At 54.2% G+C, this 17,322-nt stretch overlaps 1 protein-coding gene across 3 annotated transcripts, besides 1 other annotated feature; it reads right to left on the bottom strand.

Moving 5' to 3' along the window:
- On the bottom strand, window positions 424-10,699 carry VSIG10L2 (V-set and immunoglobulin domain containing 10 like 2). Of its 3 annotated transcripts, NM_001365077.2 has the most exons (12): window positions 10,606-10,699; window positions 8,707-9,057; window positions 8,163-8,438; window positions 6,454-6,729; window positions 5,585-5,833; window positions 4,670-4,930; window positions 3,053-3,343; window positions 2,360-2,656; window positions 1,564-1,686; window positions 1,237-1,261; window positions 1,076-1,128; window positions 424-926 (listed from the first exon to the last, which is right to left on the bottom strand). In NM_001365077.2, the coding sequence occupies exons 1-12, from the start codon at window positions 10,685-10,687 to the stop codon at window positions 829-831; spliced, it is 2,382 nt and encodes a 793-aa protein (NP_001352006.1). In that variant the 5' UTR covers window positions 10,688-10,699; the 3' UTR covers window positions 424-828. The 3 variants fall into 3 exon arrangements, with proteins under 3 accessions (NP_001352006.1, NP_001378900.1, NP_001378901.1); NM_001391971.1 differs by lacking the exons at window positions 1,237-1,261; window positions 1,564-1,686; window positions 3,053-3,343; ... (3 more) ...; window positions 8,707-9,057; window positions 10,606-10,699 and having other exon boundaries at window positions 2,532-2,656; window positions 4,670-4,954; NM_001391972.1 differs by lacking the exons at window positions 1,237-1,261; window positions 1,564-1,686; window positions 2,360-2,656; ... (4 more) ...; window positions 8,707-9,057; window positions 10,606-10,699 and having other exon boundaries at window positions 4,670-4,954.
- Window positions 14,450-14,609: a silencer, noted in NCBI's record as "silent region_4045". NCBI's record gives its function as "represses an Ori minimal core promoter by ATAC-STARR-seq in GM12878 lymphoblastoid cells {active_cell/tissue: GM12878}" and the evidence as "EXISTENCE:reporter gene assay evidence [ECO:0000049][PMID:35858748]".

Here is a 17,322-nt window from a genome sequence, read left to right as displayed (position 1 = left end):
TCTTGCCGTTTCTTCTCATCTGTGTCTCCTGCAGAGGCGGCTCGGAGTCCCGAGTCTTCTAGTCAGTTGAACAAGCATTCATTTGTGTTTTCACCCAGATTACAGACACACACACAAACAGACACACACACTTGGAGCTAGTGAGTCATGCTGGCAGCTGACATTGTGACTCTGGAACAGCCCCGGTGCTCTGTGGGCCAGCTCCCCCAGCCTGGGGGCGGGAAGCTACATCTGCAGTACCTCTGCTCCGTATCTTGTGGGCTGCGACTCCTGGAGTCGGACCACTGCAGCGTCAGTGATGTTCGTAAGCTATGGTTGAGCAAAGGAACACACACCTACACACCTTGCTTCTTCCCACTAGCCAAACCTGGGACCCAGCCATCAGCCTGTCTCTGTGGGAGTCGCAATGGAAGTAGCCCTCTATTGGCGTGAACATCAGCTCTGATTTATTTAGGAATTGCTCCATCCACAGACTTTTTTTCTGGAAGCAGCTAGCTTGCTCATACTTCTATAGCACCACAGATCCTTCCCAGTACCATGGCTTTCACTTGCCCTCAGACACCCAGAGATCCCTGTCTCCCCATTGTGGGTCCTCTTCCTTGTCCTGCCACCTCTGTCTTCCACAAGGTGGGCCAGGGCTTCTCTTGTAACCATGTCACTTAGGGACACTGCAGCTGGGCCTTGTACCAGTTGTGAAGACTGGGTATTAAGTGAAAGTGGTAGTTGGTGTCTTAGCTACGTTGGTTTTATGACCAAAGTCTGACAGAAGGGCTCTTCCCAAATCCCACCTGCCCTCCCTAAGCCTATTTGCATCTTCCTCTTTGGGCCTTATGGTGTTGCAGTCACTGTGATGGTGACATTCACTGGAGAATCCGTGGTTTCTTGTGCAGGATCCAAACCTGGGGTGGTGGTTGGTGTTTCAAGGCCTATGAAGAGCATATGTGGGCAAAGAACAGAGGGATGCTTTGGGAGTGTCCAAGTGTTCCCAGAGCTCAAGAGAGACCAAGCATCACCCTCAGCACCCAGCACTGGTCTCCTTGTACACGAGTCGTCTTTTTCTGGATAAGGTGCTTACCTGCCGGTGCCTCAGCATCTTCTCTGGAACCCCTCTGTTGGTGCCTTTGCTCCCTGAGAGTGAAGTGGGAGAGTAAAGTTAGTGGCAACTCACTTCCCTCGCTTTCCTTTCCAACTGGAGGAAAGCCCTGGCCCCCAGGATGACTGGGGTTCCACACTCACGTGGGAACAAGCAATTGACCAAGGCCTGTAGGAAGGAAAAGAAAAGGAGCATTACTTGGCCAGCCCAGCAGAGATCCCAGGAGAATGGCCGTCTCTTTCCCAGTGGGCTCTGTACTAGGGCCTCAGGAACCCAGAAGGGGATGGCCCCAGGTGCCTGGGTTGGGGGTTAGAGCCCTGCATGGCAACATCTAGCACTGGGGAGAGGGTCTGAATTAAGGAAGAGCCTAGATTCTTCTCCCCCGGGAGTGCTGCATCTCTCCTTTGGATAGGTCAGGGCCTGGCCACCCTGTGGGGTCAAGCAGCCCGTCCCTTCCGATTCCCACTCACGGGGGAAAGTCTCTGGGTGCCGGGCAGCATACTGGAACACCAGTAGAGAGGCCACCGTTGCTACCACCATTCCCGTGCCTGCTGCACCCAACACCGCTGGGTAGGCGCTGAAGGGGGGGTCCGCTAGGAGGGGAGAGCACAGGTTCCATGGTTTAGAGCCACTGCAGAACTTGGGCCACAGTGGCTCGTAGGGAACCACTAGGGTTCTGGAGAAGCGGTGCCCTGCTCATCCAGTTCCCCCTGCAGCTGACATGGGGACCCAGAGAATCCTGGAGATCAGGTCTCTCCCAAGGAAGGCGGCGCTCTGTCTGCCTAGTGCTCTGGGGTTTGACTCTCCTGCCAAATCCCCTGTTTCTGGTGCAGAAGACAAAAGGTTGGTTATCTTGGCGGCTTGGGGCTGAAGGGGAGCATGCCGTAAAATCAGGAATTCCCAGGATGGAGAGGGGGCAGCAGGAAGCTGAGAGCCTGCTTGTAGCCCTGGAGGGGAGACTGAGGCACAGAGTCGGCTCCTGTTCTTAGTCACCAGCACCTTTTCCTTCCTCTCTATTCTGATCACATGAATTAGGGTTCCTAACCCTCAGCCTGGAGCCTCCCAAGCCCCCCAGGGAGGGACAGGAAAGAGTCGTGGAGATTATCTGAGGGGAGAGTGGAGAGAGAGGAGGACGGGCTGGGGATGGGAGAATTCAGTAGGATGCGAGCAAAGGAAGAGAGGAGGGGATGCCCTGTGAAGAGGAAGATGAACCAGGGGCCAGCGCTTTGGAGAAAAGGTGGGTCCCTCCCTGGCATTAGCTGGCACCTGGTATCTTCACCTCAGAGGGATGTCCTGCAGTGTGGTGATTCAGAGCCAGGATGCGGAAGGCATAAAGGACCCCGGGGTCCAAGCCCCCCAGCCGCCGTCCTCGGCTCTCTGGCTCGATGTCACTAGCTGCTGTCTCCCACGCCCCAGCTCCTGGGCCCAGGGCACTGGCCTTCCGCTGCACCAGGAAGCCCGTCAGGTTCCCGGGTCCTAAGATGGCCCATTGAAGCTGCACCTCTCTCCGGTGCCTCCCGTAGGTCAGGCGGCTGATGGTGACATTGGGAGGAGCTGGATATCCTGGGTGAGGGTGGGGACAAAACAAGGGACATGTATACCTACAACCACGTGACCTTGTGCCCCCAGATTTGCTCCTGTCAAGAGACAGCCTGGCAGTGTGGACAAGGCACTGGATTGGGGTCTGTGGACCTGAGAAGCCCTGCCTTGTCCCATCAGTTTTTTTCATCTATAAAATGAAAGGCGATCCTGCCTGCATGGCGTTCTGTTTGCCGTGAGTGCAGCAGATTCACGCGCATGTTGCCCATCTATCTCTTGAGTCCTGCCTATGCCCAAGGAAGCTCAAGCGTCCAAATTTTGGAGCAGGGAATCCTTGTGCCTTTCCACTTAAAGCACTCTGTGGCTGTTGGTCTCCCAGCCCCCACCTCACCACACACACGCATTCAACCCCTCACTCACTCAGGACCTCCAGCAGCACACTCTGACTGCTATTGCCCACGGCGTTGCGGGCCACGCATTGGTAGGTGCCCCTGTGGTGTGCCGGGTCAGCATCGTAGATGCCCAGGCGCAGCTGGGCACCCTCAGGGTGCAGCATGAATCCTGAAGTGCCGGGGTCCACTTTTTGTTGTTGAGGCCCCAGCCAGAGGAGCTGGGCAGGTGGTGTGCCCCCGCGGAGAGAGCACTCCAGCCAGGCCTCTCCCCCCTCCAACACTGACACGCGGGGCTCAGCCACGTCCAGCTGTGGGGCTTCTGCGGGGACAGAGAGGATGAGGCCGGCTAGTGGGAGGGCTTGGGGACAAGGTGCTGGCCAGCATTGGAAGGCATGGAGAAGAGATGGAGCGGGAGAGCTGCGGAGTTGACAATGAGGCTTGTCTGGGGCCAGTCTGCCTTCTCTTCAGGTTCCCATTCTATGCCAAGTTCCTGTCACAGTGTGCGCCAGGGCTCGCTAATATATGATGAAATCAGCAGTGTTCCTCCCTGTTCCTTCCCTGCCCCACCCTAGCCTCGGCTCCTGCAGGCAGGGCCCTGCCTTACTAGTCTCTGCATGAACGGCCCCTTCCAGCACCTGGCCTCCCTCCCACTAGTGGCCCCCCACCTCCCGGCTGGCTCCAGGCATAGTGCTGGGACCATAGCAGGTGCTCAGATTTTATGGACTGACTTATTAAAGACCCAGACTCTCAGGTGTCAATGAATCTCCTACGATGGAATTTCCGGTCCTGAGACCAAGTAATAGGGAAGGAAATATTTGGGGTTGAGACCTCCTTAGAGCCCTGAGAACATGCTAGTTACCAAGCCTTTGGAGACCAAGAGGTAAAGCATTCTGTGAGAACTGTTGTGTGTGACAGCTTCTCTGTTTGCTTTTCTCACATTATTTTTTACTTTGATATTTAATTCTTTTTTCCTGGTTGCAGTAAATAGACTGGCAGAGCCAGATGAAGATAAGGAAGAACCAGACCAAAACCAAACAGAGTAAGAGAGGTAGAGAACTGACTTCTGAAATATTAATATAATCAGGCACCTCTCTTATGCAAATCCATGTAAGTGAAGATTATGCAGTTGGCATTTCCACTTCATCTAGATCAGTGCTATCCAATATTGTAGTGACCAGCCACGTCAATATGGGAACTTGAAATGTGGCCAGTCCAGATTGAGATGTGCAGTAATTGTATATATACCAGATTTTGGAGACAAGATATAAAAAGAATGTAAAATATCTCATTAATAATTTTTATTATTACATGTTGAAATGATATACTGGATATATTGAGTTAACTGAAGTGTTTCACTTGTTTCTTCTTCTTTTTAAATGTGGCTGCTAGAATATTTTAAATCACATATATGGCTCACATTATATTTTTATTACACAACTCTGACCTAGCCTAACCCCCTCATTTTATGGATCAAAGAAAACTTGAGTCCCTGGGAGCTCAGCTCCTAACTACCTCCTAGCTTCCCCGTCCGCACTGACTCACTTTCCATGCCAGCACAGCCACCCCCTAAGATCTCTTTATCCTGATTCCAAAGGGTTCCTCCTCCTGTCCCAGCCCCAGAACAAACTCGCTAGCCCCTACTCACCCAGCTGGAGGTGGCAGTGGGGGTCAGGGGTCCTGAGCAGGTGAGTGCCCCGGCAGGTGAACTCTCTGCCAGCCAGATCTTCTTGGGCCTGCAGGAGGTGAACGGCCATCGAGGAGCTGCTGCCGCCCAGGGGCTGCTGCTGTTCGTCAAGCCAGCCCAGCGTGGCAGGGGGCTCGCCGCCAGGCCACTCGCAGCTCAGCATGATGAACTGGTCCCCCATTGTGGCTGTGCTCCAGCAGGTAGGCCTCCCGAGAGGCTCCCCTGGAAGGAATGATGGCTCAGTATGGCCCTGTGGAAGGAGGAAGGGCTTGGCAGTTCCACCCTATCCCCCTTCCTTCATTGGTTCCTTCACTCCCTCCTTCCTTCATTACTTTGTCACTCACTCATTCACACACTCATCATTTATTGATCATGTGCCAGGGAAATGGTGGGAACAGACATTAAACAATTATTATGATTTGATGTGTGCTAGAATATAGACAGAAAGACAAACTCCCTGGGGCTTCCGGAAAGAGGACAGGATGACATCTGGACTCTGTCTTGGCTGATGGCTGGGAGTTTCTCTCTGCACACTTGGCAGAGAGAATGCTGAAGGCAAGTTTCAAGCCCAACATGCGTCAGAGCGGTAGAAGTGCAGTGTAAGGGCGGTGAGAGCCTGCTGACCCTGCAGGCAGGGACAGTGGGGAGGTGTCAGGGCTCCAAGCCCAAAGTGAGGGGAACAGAGCACAGTGTGGATGGGAAAGATGGGAGATGGGGACTGAGAGCTGAGTGCCGCCCACCTCCTTGTTACATGGCGTGTTTTGGAGCCTGCGGTCTGGAGAGCCACCCAGATCCCAGGCCCCCCGCCTCTACCCTGACCTCTACCCACACTCTGCCTGGAATGTCAGAGCCCTGGGGTTTCCTGTGTCCACTCACAGAGCATGACTGTGCAGAGGGCAGGCGGTGCCAGGGCTGGGTGCTGGCCAGTGCAGGTGAAGACGCTGCCACTGGGGAGCTGGGCGGCTGCGTGACTCCAGGTGACGTTGCTGGGGGCAGTAGGGCCAGGTCCCTGAGGCCCTTCCCACTGCAGTTGGGCAGGCGGAAGCCCCCCAGGCCAGGCACAGAGCAGGGTCACAGCCTCAGGGCTGGGATGCACTGCACAGGAGGGCTGTCCCTCAGGGGGATCTGGATGGGGAAGTGGGTGAGGCTGGAGCAGGCTCCACTGCCAGTGCCCTGCAGCCCCCAGGCCCAGGCAGGGGAGTCTGGAGGCCAGGGGTGTCAGTGGGTAGGGGAGCAGGGAGAAGTGGGTTAGGGGAAAGATTGAGTCTCTCTGAGGGGCTGGTGAGGAACAGGCTGAGCTCTCAGGTCAGGGGCAGGAGGTTACCGAGTGTACAGGAGTTTGGAGTCCCCAAGGAATCCCAGAGGCCCCATGGAGGGCCCTATCTCCCATTCTCGTCTCTGTCCCTGGGCACCCAGGAGCCAGCACACCTTGCCTCACTGCCATCGCCCTTCTCTGTGCCTCAGTTCAGTCCGCAGGGCCATGGGAATAATCACTTAGCGGCGGGGTGCTATGTAGTGTCAGTAGCTTCCCCCTCCCTTCCCCTTCCCCTTCCCCTTCCCACAGTTTTCTTCTCCTCTTTCCCTGCCTCCAACTCCACTTGGTTGGAGACCTCCCTCCAACAAGAGCAGCTTTGGCACACGCCTCTCCACGGGACGGCGGGGTCTGCCCCAGAACAGCCCCACAAAGGCTCCAGCGTGAGTTGTCCCCAGGACAGGTCTGGGCGTCACCCGACCCCCACACTCACAGTAGATGGTGAGCTGGACAGTAGTCTGGGTGCGGGTGTCCAGGTAGCTGTTGCGGGCCAGGCAGGTGTACAGGCCTGTGTGGACACGGCCAGCTCTGGCGATGACATAGGTAGGCCCCGTGTGGACTTGCGTGTGGTCACGGAGCCACACATAGTGACTAGGTGGGTTGGAGGCAGCCAGACAGCTCAGGGTCACCTCTTCCCTCTCACTGGCCCAGAAGCCCTCCTCAGTGAGTCCCAGCGGCTCCATGGTGATCACAGGCTTGTCAGGACCATCTGGAGAGCAAGGAAGGCCAGTTACACCTCCCCAGCTTCATTCCTTCATTCACGCACATGCTCATCTCTGAATGTATGCATCCATCCTAGGGGCATGTAGTATGCACTGGCCCGTGTCCACCCCAAGGCTAGGCCCTCTTAGAGCTCAGAGTCCAGGGGCCATGGGCACAGTCCAGGGTGCTCAGGGCTTATGTGTGGAGGTGAGCACCCTGGGCTGTGGGCACTTCCTGGAGGGACTCCTGGGTTGGGCCAAGGTGGGGCAGAAGAGAGGTAGGGGACCAATGCTTCCCATGTGCCTGAGACTGAGGGGCTCTTGGAAGCAGACATTCGGCCACTGTAGACTGCAGAAGTAAGATACTACAGTGGGATGATGTCCTGAACCCTATCCCAGCAGCCACCTCCTTTCACTTCCTTGGACTCCACCTTCCCCTCTCTCCTGCGTTCCAAGCTCAGGGTCACCATCTTCGAAGCTCTCCCTGACTCCAAAAGAGTTCTGAATTCTTTGCCTACTTCCAGTCTGCTCCTGCCTCTTTCGCAAGAACTCTCCTGCTCACCTGCCTCAACAGTCCTCAGTTCACAATTTCCACAAACCGCCACGGTGAAGACCGATAAATAGGACGCCATTCGTCCTCGCTCCTTAAAACGTCTAAGACCAGCACCGTCCAATAGGCGGATGCCAGACACAGATTTTTTTTTATAACACGTTCTAGTAGCCAAATCTTACGTAAAAATGACCAAACCCGATCAAGCAGAAAACAAAAACAAAAACCACCAATAGGTGTTTTACTTTAAGAATATATTTATTTAACCAAATATATCCAGAATGTTATTTCAATATATAATCAATATAGAAGTTACGGATATTTTACATTCTTTCTTTTGGACTAAAGCTTCAAAATCAAGTGTGCCTTCCATGCCTACAGCACAGCTCAGTTTGGATTGGCTCCATCTCAAGTGACCGAAGATACACATGCGTGGCTGCCATGTGGGACAGCGAGCTCCAGGCCACCCTGGCCTTCATCTTTCACCCGGGGCTCCTGACTTCTAACTTCAGGCTTGCTGCCCTCTCCTCCCACTGTGGCCCCATTCCTGTCTCCTGGGGTCCTGTTGGTTTCTGAGAGCCCTCCAGGCTCAACCTAAAGGCAGACTCTCCAGGCCGCCAGTGAAATGGTGAGTGAAATTGTAAGCATGAATGTATGCACGTTTTCCTGGAAAAGGGTGTCCTTGACCTTTATAAGGCTAACAGCCTGGAACTAGAGCTGCAGTGGGCAGCAGGGGCACGGCACCCCGTGACTCTTGCCTGCTGGAGACTTTTAGAGGGCGAGGCACTCCTGCAGTGGAGGGATTTGGGGAGTTCTGAGGTGTGGAAGGCTGAGTGTGGATGGGGAGATGGGTGTCAGCCCTGACAGCCCCCCCACCACAGTCTGACTCACAAATGACGTCCAGGAAGGCCCCGTCACTGCTCAGCCTGTTCACGGAGTTGCTGGCGCTGCACATGTACCACCCTAGGTGTGTCCGGTTGACAGGGTCCAGCTGGAATAGTGGCTCAGTGACCCCCACCAGGGCCTCTCCAAGGCCTCGGGGTGCCCGATGCTGCCAGGCAAAGGTCACGGGCTCTGTGCCCTCCCGCACTGCACACGTGGCCACCACGGAGGCTCCCTCCACAGGGGACGGGTTACTCAGTCGCACTTGAGGCTTGGACACCGGCACTGGCCAGAGGAGGGAGAGGCCCGCTGTGTTATTACAGACCCAGGACACGCCCAGCTGTGTCCAGCGCCCCCACCCCTGCTGGCTGGGGACTCACCAGCCCACCCACCCTGACCATCCCTTCCTCATCACCCCAGCTTTCCAAAGTCCCTGGAGTGGGGCGCCCTTTAGAACCTGGGTCCCGCACACACACAAAGGGAATGGGCAGCACACTTCCAGAGAAATCCAAAGCAGCCCGCGGACCAGCTGCAGCTGGGGCCAGGCCCTCACCCAGCACAGCCAGCGTGAGGTGGGAGTAGGCAGCGTGGAGCTGGCCGCCAGCCACGTGCAGAACCTGGCATAGGAAGTGGCCACGGGCACCCTCGTGAAGCTCCCCCAGCACCAGGCTGCTGTTCCTCAGACTCACGACTCCCAGAGCCGAGGCGATGGCCTCCACCTTGGACATGGCTCCATCGGTGACGGCCACAGGCCGGGGAACCAGGGAGCCCAGGGGGGTGAAGCTCCAGAGGACCAGCAGCGGGGCAGGCCCTGAGCCACAGGCCAGCTCCACGGAGCCACCTCGCACTCCCTGGACAGACACCACCTCCTCTACAGGGGCCTCGGGGGTCGGGTGGGGCTGGCCTGGGGAGAGAAGGGGCATAGCAGGACTTCTGGGCTGCTCTGGGCTCTCCTGCACTCCCTGCCTTGCCTGGAGCCTCTCTTTTTGGTTCTGCAGTCCCAAGCGGCCCAGGCAGGGTTCAGGAAGACCACATAAAAGCACTTCTGGAGTTGGTGGGCAAGAGACAGTTTGTGTGGGAGCCTCTGGGTTTCCTGTTTGGATGCACTGAAGGAGGGGTTGACTGAAGTCAGAGAATGGACTGGAGCAGACATCCCCACTCCTCATGGGTCACTAGACCATCCAAAAGGCAGATTCGTGGACGTCACCCCAGACTATCAAGTCAGACACTCCCAGTGGTGGTGAGGGGGTCAGGGCCCAGGAATCCATATTTGTAACAAGCGCCCCAAGATCAGTCTGATGATCAGTCCCGTGACGATGGTGACCCTGGAGATAAGGAGATCTGCTTGGCCACTGGTGGCTCGGGGTCTGGAGTTCCTGTGTAAGGATTCCAGGAGGATCCCAGGGCTCCCTCCCACCCTGTTCCAGTTGATTGCAGCAAGGGAAAGAGGACACCGCCCGCATCAGCCCATCCAGCATTCGTTCAACTAAGCATAGAGTGCCGGGGTCACAAGGACAAATGAGCCCCCCACCCCTGCTCTCATGGAGTTCCCAGTCTATCAGGGACCAGCCATTAAGTAGTTCCTGTGGAGTAAGTCACTTAACAGGTGTTCTCGGCTCAGGGCCCAGCCCTCAACCCCAGCCTAAGCCCAAGTACCATGTTCCCCGCTGTCCCCTCACATGTGGCCAGGGTGGGCCTCATGCCATGAAGTGCTGAGGACCTCAGCAAATTTGCATGAAAGTAAGTCTCTGGGGCCGGGCTCAGTGGCTCAGGCCTGTAATCCCAGCACTCTGGGAGGCTGAGGCGGGCAGATCACCTGAGGTCAGGAGTTTGAGACCAGCCTGGCCAACATGGCAAAACCCTGGCTCTACTAAAAATACAAAAATTAGCTGGGCATGGTGGCACACACCTGTAATCCCAGCTACTTGGTAGGCTGAGGCTGGAGAATCACTTGAACCCAGGAGGCAGAGGTTGCAGTGAGCCGAGATCACACCACTGCACTCCAGCCTGGGTGACAGCAAGACTCCATCTCAAAAAAAAAAAAAGAATAAAAATATGTAACCCAGAAACCAATTTCTTCCAACCCCATGGACATTGCTTTGGCCCAAGATGCCAGCATCTCTCACCTGGATTATGGCAATGATCTCCTGATTGCCCTAATCCCCCTCAAAACCAGGGAGCTTTCTGAAACCTGGATCTGACCATACCACTCCTAGGCTTACCACCTCACAGTGGCTCTCAGGATGACTCCAGCTTCTCAAGGTTAAGCAGAGTGCTCTCACCTACGTGGCACATAGTAGTCGCTCAGTGAACGCTAGTTAAATGTCTAGCCGATGAATGACTGAACGGACTTCATGGAATGGAGTGCAAAAGGAGGATCCCCCAGGAAGTGGCAGGAATAATGGGATGGGAGTGGGAAATGAACCCCCTGGGGGGTCTGAGTATCACTCACCTGAGGCCCTCAGGTGCAGAAGGCAGAGGTGTATCAGCAGCAGGAGGCTGACTGGGCTGTGCTGGGCCCTCTGACCCACCATGGCCCCATCTCCCTGATGGCCACCCACCTGAGGCTCCTGCCTGACCTGTGGGCCCCTTCTACCCAGAGCAGAGCCCAGCCCTGGGAGGATGGTGGTCTGGCTCAGGTTGCCAACTTTAGCCCTGCCCATGCCTCCACCCCTGCTCTCCTGTTACCCTCAGTGCCTCGATGACTCGTTAATTATTTACCAGATGATTCACCCCATCCATAATGCAGAATTGGGGAGGGTAGGACGTGGCTGGGGCAGACCCAGGGGAGAGGACCACGAGCTCCCTGCATTTTCGCTCAAAGGATATTGTAAAATTAGAATCACTGGACAGAGTTGAGAAAGGCCCCCAAACTCTTCTGGTCCAATTACCTGCCCAACACAGGACTCCCGACCACAGGGACCTTGAGGTTCAAACAACCTTTAGGTGGAGTGGCGGGAGGAGCTGTGGAGTCAGACAGCTGGGGTTGGTGATAATCTGAAAAGCGAGGACGTTTCCGAGCCTCCCTGGGCCCTAGCTTCCTCACAGATAAGTGGGATAATAACACCTTCTTTGTTGTAAAGAGTATATTGTGAATATCAAATGACAAGACTTAAATTAGCACACGGGGGTGCTTTTTGGGTGCTGAAATGTGCTGTTCCTTGAGTCGAGTGAGGGTTACAGTTCCTCAAGCTGTACGTTTATTTTTTATGTACTTTACAAATCTTTGATATAATTCATGCACACATATGTGTTTGATATCATTCATTCATTCATTCATGCCTGTCCACACATGCGCTCATGCACACACACGGATGAACAGTGCCCAGCATGCAGTAGGTGCACCATTCATGCTCCTAGCTAGATTTGAACTATCAAGTCTGGATCCCGGAGCTGGGCTGGAGCCCAGCATTCCTGCTGTCCAGGGCTCTCTGAATTCTCTGTCTCTCTAGCTCTTGGAGCATATCCTGTTGTCTAGCTGTCTCTGAATGACAGCCCGAGAGGGGGTCAGATTTTTCCATCCTCTGGTGGCAGGGTTAGACGGAGGATGAGATTCCTGAACCCCAGTGAGAAGGGGGATCTGATGTCCGGTTTCAGGTTCTCCAAGGCTCAGCCAAGACAGGAGCTGTCAGAGTTGAATTCCAGGTGGCTCCTCCAGGGCCCAAGATGTCACTGTGGCACTCTGGCTTCTCACTTGCCTGGGACAGTGGCTGCATGAAGAGGCTGTATGGACAGACCCCTATCCCACCCTCACTCGATCCACGGCCAAGCCCTTCCATGCCTTCCTCAGGGTCTCGAGTTCCCTTTCCCTCCTAACTCAGCTATGGAGCAGAATGGCAGGTGGTCCCTGAGAGTCAGGTTTGACTGCCCCTGGTGACCAGTGCATACGGGCCACTCATTTGATTCCCCCACTCCCCAGACTGGGAATCTCCTCCGATCTCCCTTAGAGGTTCCTATGGAAATAAAGTGTGGGGATCCGGCAGCACTCTCCACCTCAGGGTGGCCGGCCCCTGTCTCTGGAGAGAACGGGAGAATTCTAGCCATGTGAATCAGGGGAGCTTTAAAGGATCCTCTGGCAGTGGCAAGAGCTTGTGCTGATGCAGAGTTAGTCTACGCTGCTTGCGTTATCAGCCCCCCAGCCTTTTCTCAGCTGGGGCATCAGGAACACGGAAGTCAGGTGGGGCTCCTCAACCTGCTCTTTCCCCTTAGGAAGGGGACCCTCGAAGGGAGAGTCAGGGAGAGAGGGTATATTAGTCAGGGGTCTCCAGAGAAAGAGAACGAAGAGGTTGTATGTATATACAGAAAGGGATTTATCATAAGGAATCGGGTCATGTGATTATGGAGGCTGACAAATCTCAAGATCTGCTGTCCACAGGCTTGAGATCCAGGGAGAGCTGAGGTTTCAGTTTGAGTCTGAAGGCAGGAAAAGACCGCAGTTCCAGTTCAGGCAGTCAGGCAGGCGGAGTTCCATCTTACTCAGCCTTTTTGTTCTGTTCGGGCCGTCACCTGATTGGATGAGGCCCACCCATGTTGGGGAGGGCAATGTTCTTTACTGATTCTATCAATTCAAATGTTCATCTCACCCCAGAACACCCTCCCGAAACACCCAGAGTGATGTTTGAAATATCTGGGTACCCCATGACCTAGCCAAGTTGACACATAAAACAGACCATCACAGAGGTGAAGCCTACCCCCATCCTGTGTCCTGGCTCTGCCAGAACAGGAACCCCATGGCAGAGCCACAGCCCCTGTCTGGAAGAGAAGAGATGTGTCTGGAATGGGAGAACAGGCCCAGGGCTCCTGTCCCTGCTGCCTCGGGAGGTGAGGAGCTGGGAGAGACAAGGTGAGCTGGTTCCTTGCTTTGAGAGACAAGAAAGCGCAGTAATGAGAACACACATTTATCTCTTTATTACTGTGTGACCTCAGCATCTTACAGAACTTCTCTAAGCTTCAATTTCTTCCTTTAATGGTTTTCCTGTGAGGAACACATGAGATTATGCATGTATAGCTCCTGCCTCTTAAACTTACTTATACCTCTTAACCAAAGAACGTAAACAATGAATTGAACAAATGTTTCTTGAGCGTCTAAGTTTAAGGCACAGGGATGGGGTCAGATTTTTCCATCCTCTGGTGGCAGGGTTGGAGGCCTGACAAGAGATCCTCTCTTTCCCTCCTTCCCCCCTTCCCAAGGAGCTTCATCCAAGCTGAGGTCACCTGGAGCTGTGCTCTGCACTGTGCAAGCTCAGCAGCCGGGCCCTGGGGCAGGTAAAGCTGTGGATTCCCAGGTTCTGGTGCCTGCTTCTCATCGTCCCCTCCTGCTCAGGGCCTGTGCTCTCCACCCTCACTGCGTGGCCTCCATCCCCAGCCTGCCTGGGCCCCCAGGGCTCACATCAGCCTGGAGGGAAGGACAGGCAACTGTGTGGACTAAGGGGCAACCTGGAGTCCCTGGAGTGGCCTCGTAGCTGAACTCAGAAATGAGGGGCTTATAAGGAGGGACTCAGGACCTAGACTCCAGTAGTTTGAGGTGAAATTCTGGAGGACCAGGCTGAGGTTCCAAAAGGGCTGGTGGGACCCTCCTTTGCACGCAGGAAGCCCCTCTGCCACCTCCTCGAAAGAAGGCCCTGCAGCTCCTCCCGGGGGAACGTCAGATGGGCGCTGCATGAACTTGGGTGAGCAACCCGCTCCGTCTCCATCTTGTGGCCTCATCTGTGAAATGAAAATAATAATAACTCCCTCTTCAAGTTATTGGACAAATGACATACAACCACCAGTATTAAACCCCTCACAAGCACCCAGCATGGCACGCAGATACATTGAATCAATGTTAGCTCTCGCCCTCCTTCTCTTTAAGTTGAATGAAAATCTGCTTCCCTGACACTTCTATCCTTGGGGAATTCTTTCATGGAAGTTTTGTAAAATTACTCAAACCCCACTCACTTCCAGATGAAAGTCATTCACTATTTGAAACTGCGTGTGCTGCTCTTCTCTTCTCCACCTAAATAAATAATACTAGTCACCATTTGTTGTACACTTACATACACCAGGCGTGGGTTAGGGGTTCCCAACAGCCCCATGAGAAAGCATTGCTATTCATATTTTATGAATGGGCTCAAATGCTCCCCTATTTTCTCCCCATGGCTTGATTTCCTGTGCCCCAGGTTGCTCCCCGTCTTTGGACATTCTCTGGTTCGTCCCCGTCCACTCTGAGACTGTGGCTCACTCAGTCTGGCCAGGGGCCTGTGGAACTGCTAAATCCCTTCTCTTCTGATAAAAATGCTCAAAGTCTTGCTCAGTTATTTACTGAGTTTCACGGATCCCCCTCAGCTAACGTTTATCCTGTATCAGGGCATGTTGGCTACACTGCCCCCTTGAGGCCTCCCCTGGCTCCTGAGGATGGCTGGGCACACCTGGCTCTCCTGAGAGGAAGCGGCGGCTCCCTGAGTCTCCCTGTGTCTTTGGACGAGGCAGTGGTGCGGCTGGAACAAGCGCCAGGTGCCTGCAGCTGCCTCCTCTCCAGGACCCTCCGCTGTGCATGGGCAGCAGCTACACCAGACCGTGGGTACTTGGTAAACTCAGGGACAGATGACGCTTGTCTCGCACCACATCCCTGTGCCTCTGAGCCAACCTACAGGCCCCTCCTTTTGTGCTGTGGGTTTTAACCCAGCTCTCCTGCCTTGTGACCATTTTGAATCCTGATTCTGAAATCATAGGGCTTTGGAGCAGCAGCATGTGAAAGGACAGGGACAGCTGGGCTGAGGAGGGGAGCAGATGCTCCTGGAGGAAATGGCTTCTCCATGTGTGCTGTTGGGCCAGCCCGGCCCTCCGGGACCCCAGCAGGAGACCAGCCGAGGGCTGCAGAGGAAATGGGTTAGAGGCTCCACAGGCAACGTGTCCCCGGCTGTGTTCATGGCTAAGGAAAGGAAGGAGGACAACAGGGACAGAGGACAGGCAGGGGCCACTGCCTAGTCACTTTGTAAACTGATCCTTAGAGACTAGAGAGGAAATGAAGGAGGCCCTGGATGGAAGGGTTGGGAACAGGAGGTGAACAGATCAGGAGAGGAAGGAAGGGGAGGCAGACGCAGGCCAAGGCTGAGGCAGTGACAGTGCTGGGAGAGCACCTGTTGGGGCCGCAGGGAAGGAGGCCTAGTTTCTGGCGCCAGCTTCACCTGGGAGCTGACCCTCCTTCCATCTGCTTTCCATTCCCGGAGCCCTTTCTCAACCAGCCCTACCTGGGCATGTGGAGCAAAACACTCATGGCTTCTGTTTCCTGATTGGTTAAAAATGTGATTGCAATGCTCACCCTGACACTGCTCAGAGCTGTTGTAAGAGCGGGATGGTGGATTAGTAAGAGCGTATAAGCTGCTGTGCAGAGATGTGAAGAAAGAGGAGAGCTGGAATCACATCAGGGTTCAGATCTTGGTTCTGTTCCCACTACCTGAGTGACGATGAACAAGTTACTCACCCACTTCAAGTCTTAGTTTTTCCTCTGTGAAATGGGACTAATTGTTTATTAGATAATATTAGAAGCCAGGCACGGTGGCTCTCGCCTGTAATCCCAGCACTTTGGGAGGCCGAGGCGGGCAGATCACTTGAGGTCAGGAGTTTGAGACCAGCCTGGCCAGTATGGTGAAACCCTCTCTCTACTAAAAATACAAAACTTAGTCGGGTGTGGTGGCGTGTTCCTGTAGTCCCAGCTACTCAGGAGGCTGAGCCACGAGAATCACTTGTACCTGGATGGTGGGGGTTGTAGTGAGCCGAGACCACGCCACTATACTCCAGCCTGGGCAACAGAGAAAGACTCAGTCTCAAAAAAAAAAAAAAGTTAGAAAATTAATTTTGTTATATGTGAGAATAGTTTTTTGATGATGTAAGACAATGTTTCTGTTTTTTAATGAATACTAAAACACTCAGCAATGAGATGTCCCGATGTCTTTAGCTTACCTTAAACTACTACGCAAAAACAGACCAGAAGCTGCTTTCACCAGGCCTCTAGCCCTGCATTGCCATGGGGATTCTTGCAGGGAAGAAGCTGTACATTAACATCTTCCTAATTTTGTAAAAGTTGTGTGAGGTATGCCGGGTGGTGGAAGGGGTGAGATGGAGAAAGGAGAGTGCCTTTGGGGGCAGTTAGAGCAGAGAGGAAGAGATTTCCCTGAGTTTGGGGACAGTTCAGAGGTCACTAGGTACCTGGGAGAAGAAGAGTCTGGAGACAGCAGGCCAGGACCCCAGAGCGTACAGGACTGGAGAGCTATTGCTGACTGCACAGGCCCACAGAAAGCTTGGACAACGAGCAGGCCAACAACCACCACGATGGACCAGCAGTTAGAGGCCTTCCCTTGGTTTCATCCCTCCTAAGTTTCTTAGTCAATTTGTGTGGCTATACTAGAATACCTGAGACTGGGTAATTTATAAAGAACAGAAATTTATTTTCTTACAGTTCTGGAGACTGGGAAGTCCAAGACCGGGGCTCCAGCAGGTCCGGTGTCTGGTGAGAGCTGTTGTCTTCCAAGATGGCGCCTTGTCACTGCATCTTCCAGAGGAGACGAAGGCCATGTCCCCACATAGTGGAAGGCAGAAGGGCAAAAAGGGATAAACTCCCTTTGTCAAGCCCTTTTATAAGGGCAGCTACTCCCATTCACAGGGGAGGAGCCCTCGTGGCCCAACCACCTCTTGGAGACCCCATCTCTTAATACTACCACACTGGCAACACCTGAATTTTGGGGACACATTTAAACCATAGCAATAAGCCCCCGGGTTCTGGTGGGACGCTGGAAAAAGGCAGGAGCCCCAGGAATGAACTCAACTCTACTTGATTTTAGTGAAATAGAGAAATGGATATTTTTGTGCACCTAAGTTTATAGAGTAAGAGTCACACCTACTGCACCACTACGATTATTATTATTAGCGTTGCTGTTGTTGCTGTTTCCCGGGCTGTGACACTAGGCCTCAGTGCATTTGAGTGCTGTCTGATATGAGCAAAGTGCTCAGGACAGCTGCAGTTCCTTCCCCCAGGAAAGACTCCTAGCCCTTCAGTTCCCAGGTTCTTCCTGGGTTCTGCCCCATCTGGCAACAGTGCTGCTACCAGGCCGGGAATGACAATATAGGGACAGTTCTCTGTAGTTGAGGGTCTGGTTGGAGGTCCCTGGTAGGAGTCTGTCTGGACCCAGCA

This window comes from Homo sapiens, chromosome 11, assembly GCF_000001405.40.
Source record: "Homo sapiens chromosome 11, GRCh38.p14 Primary Assembly".
Taxonomy (NCBI): Eukaryota; Metazoa; Chordata; class Mammalia; order Primates; family Hominidae; genus Homo; species Homo sapiens.
This window is presented reverse-complemented; position numbering and strand designations above follow the sequence as displayed.

Coding starts and splice junctions, on each gene's coding strand:
- VSIG10L2 (NM_001365077.2), bottom strand. CDS start 10,687: ATGGTGGGTCAGAGGGCCCAGCACAGCCCAGTCAGCCTCCTGCTGCTG. Junction 4,931..5,584: donor CCTCTGCACAGTCATGCTCT/GTGAGTGGACAC, acceptor CATTCCTTCCAG/GGGAGCCTCTCGGGAGGCCT. Junction 1,262..1,563: donor GCACCCAGAGACTTTCCCCC/GTGAGTGGGAAT, acceptor TCCTTCCTACAG/GCCTTGGTCAATTGCTTGTT.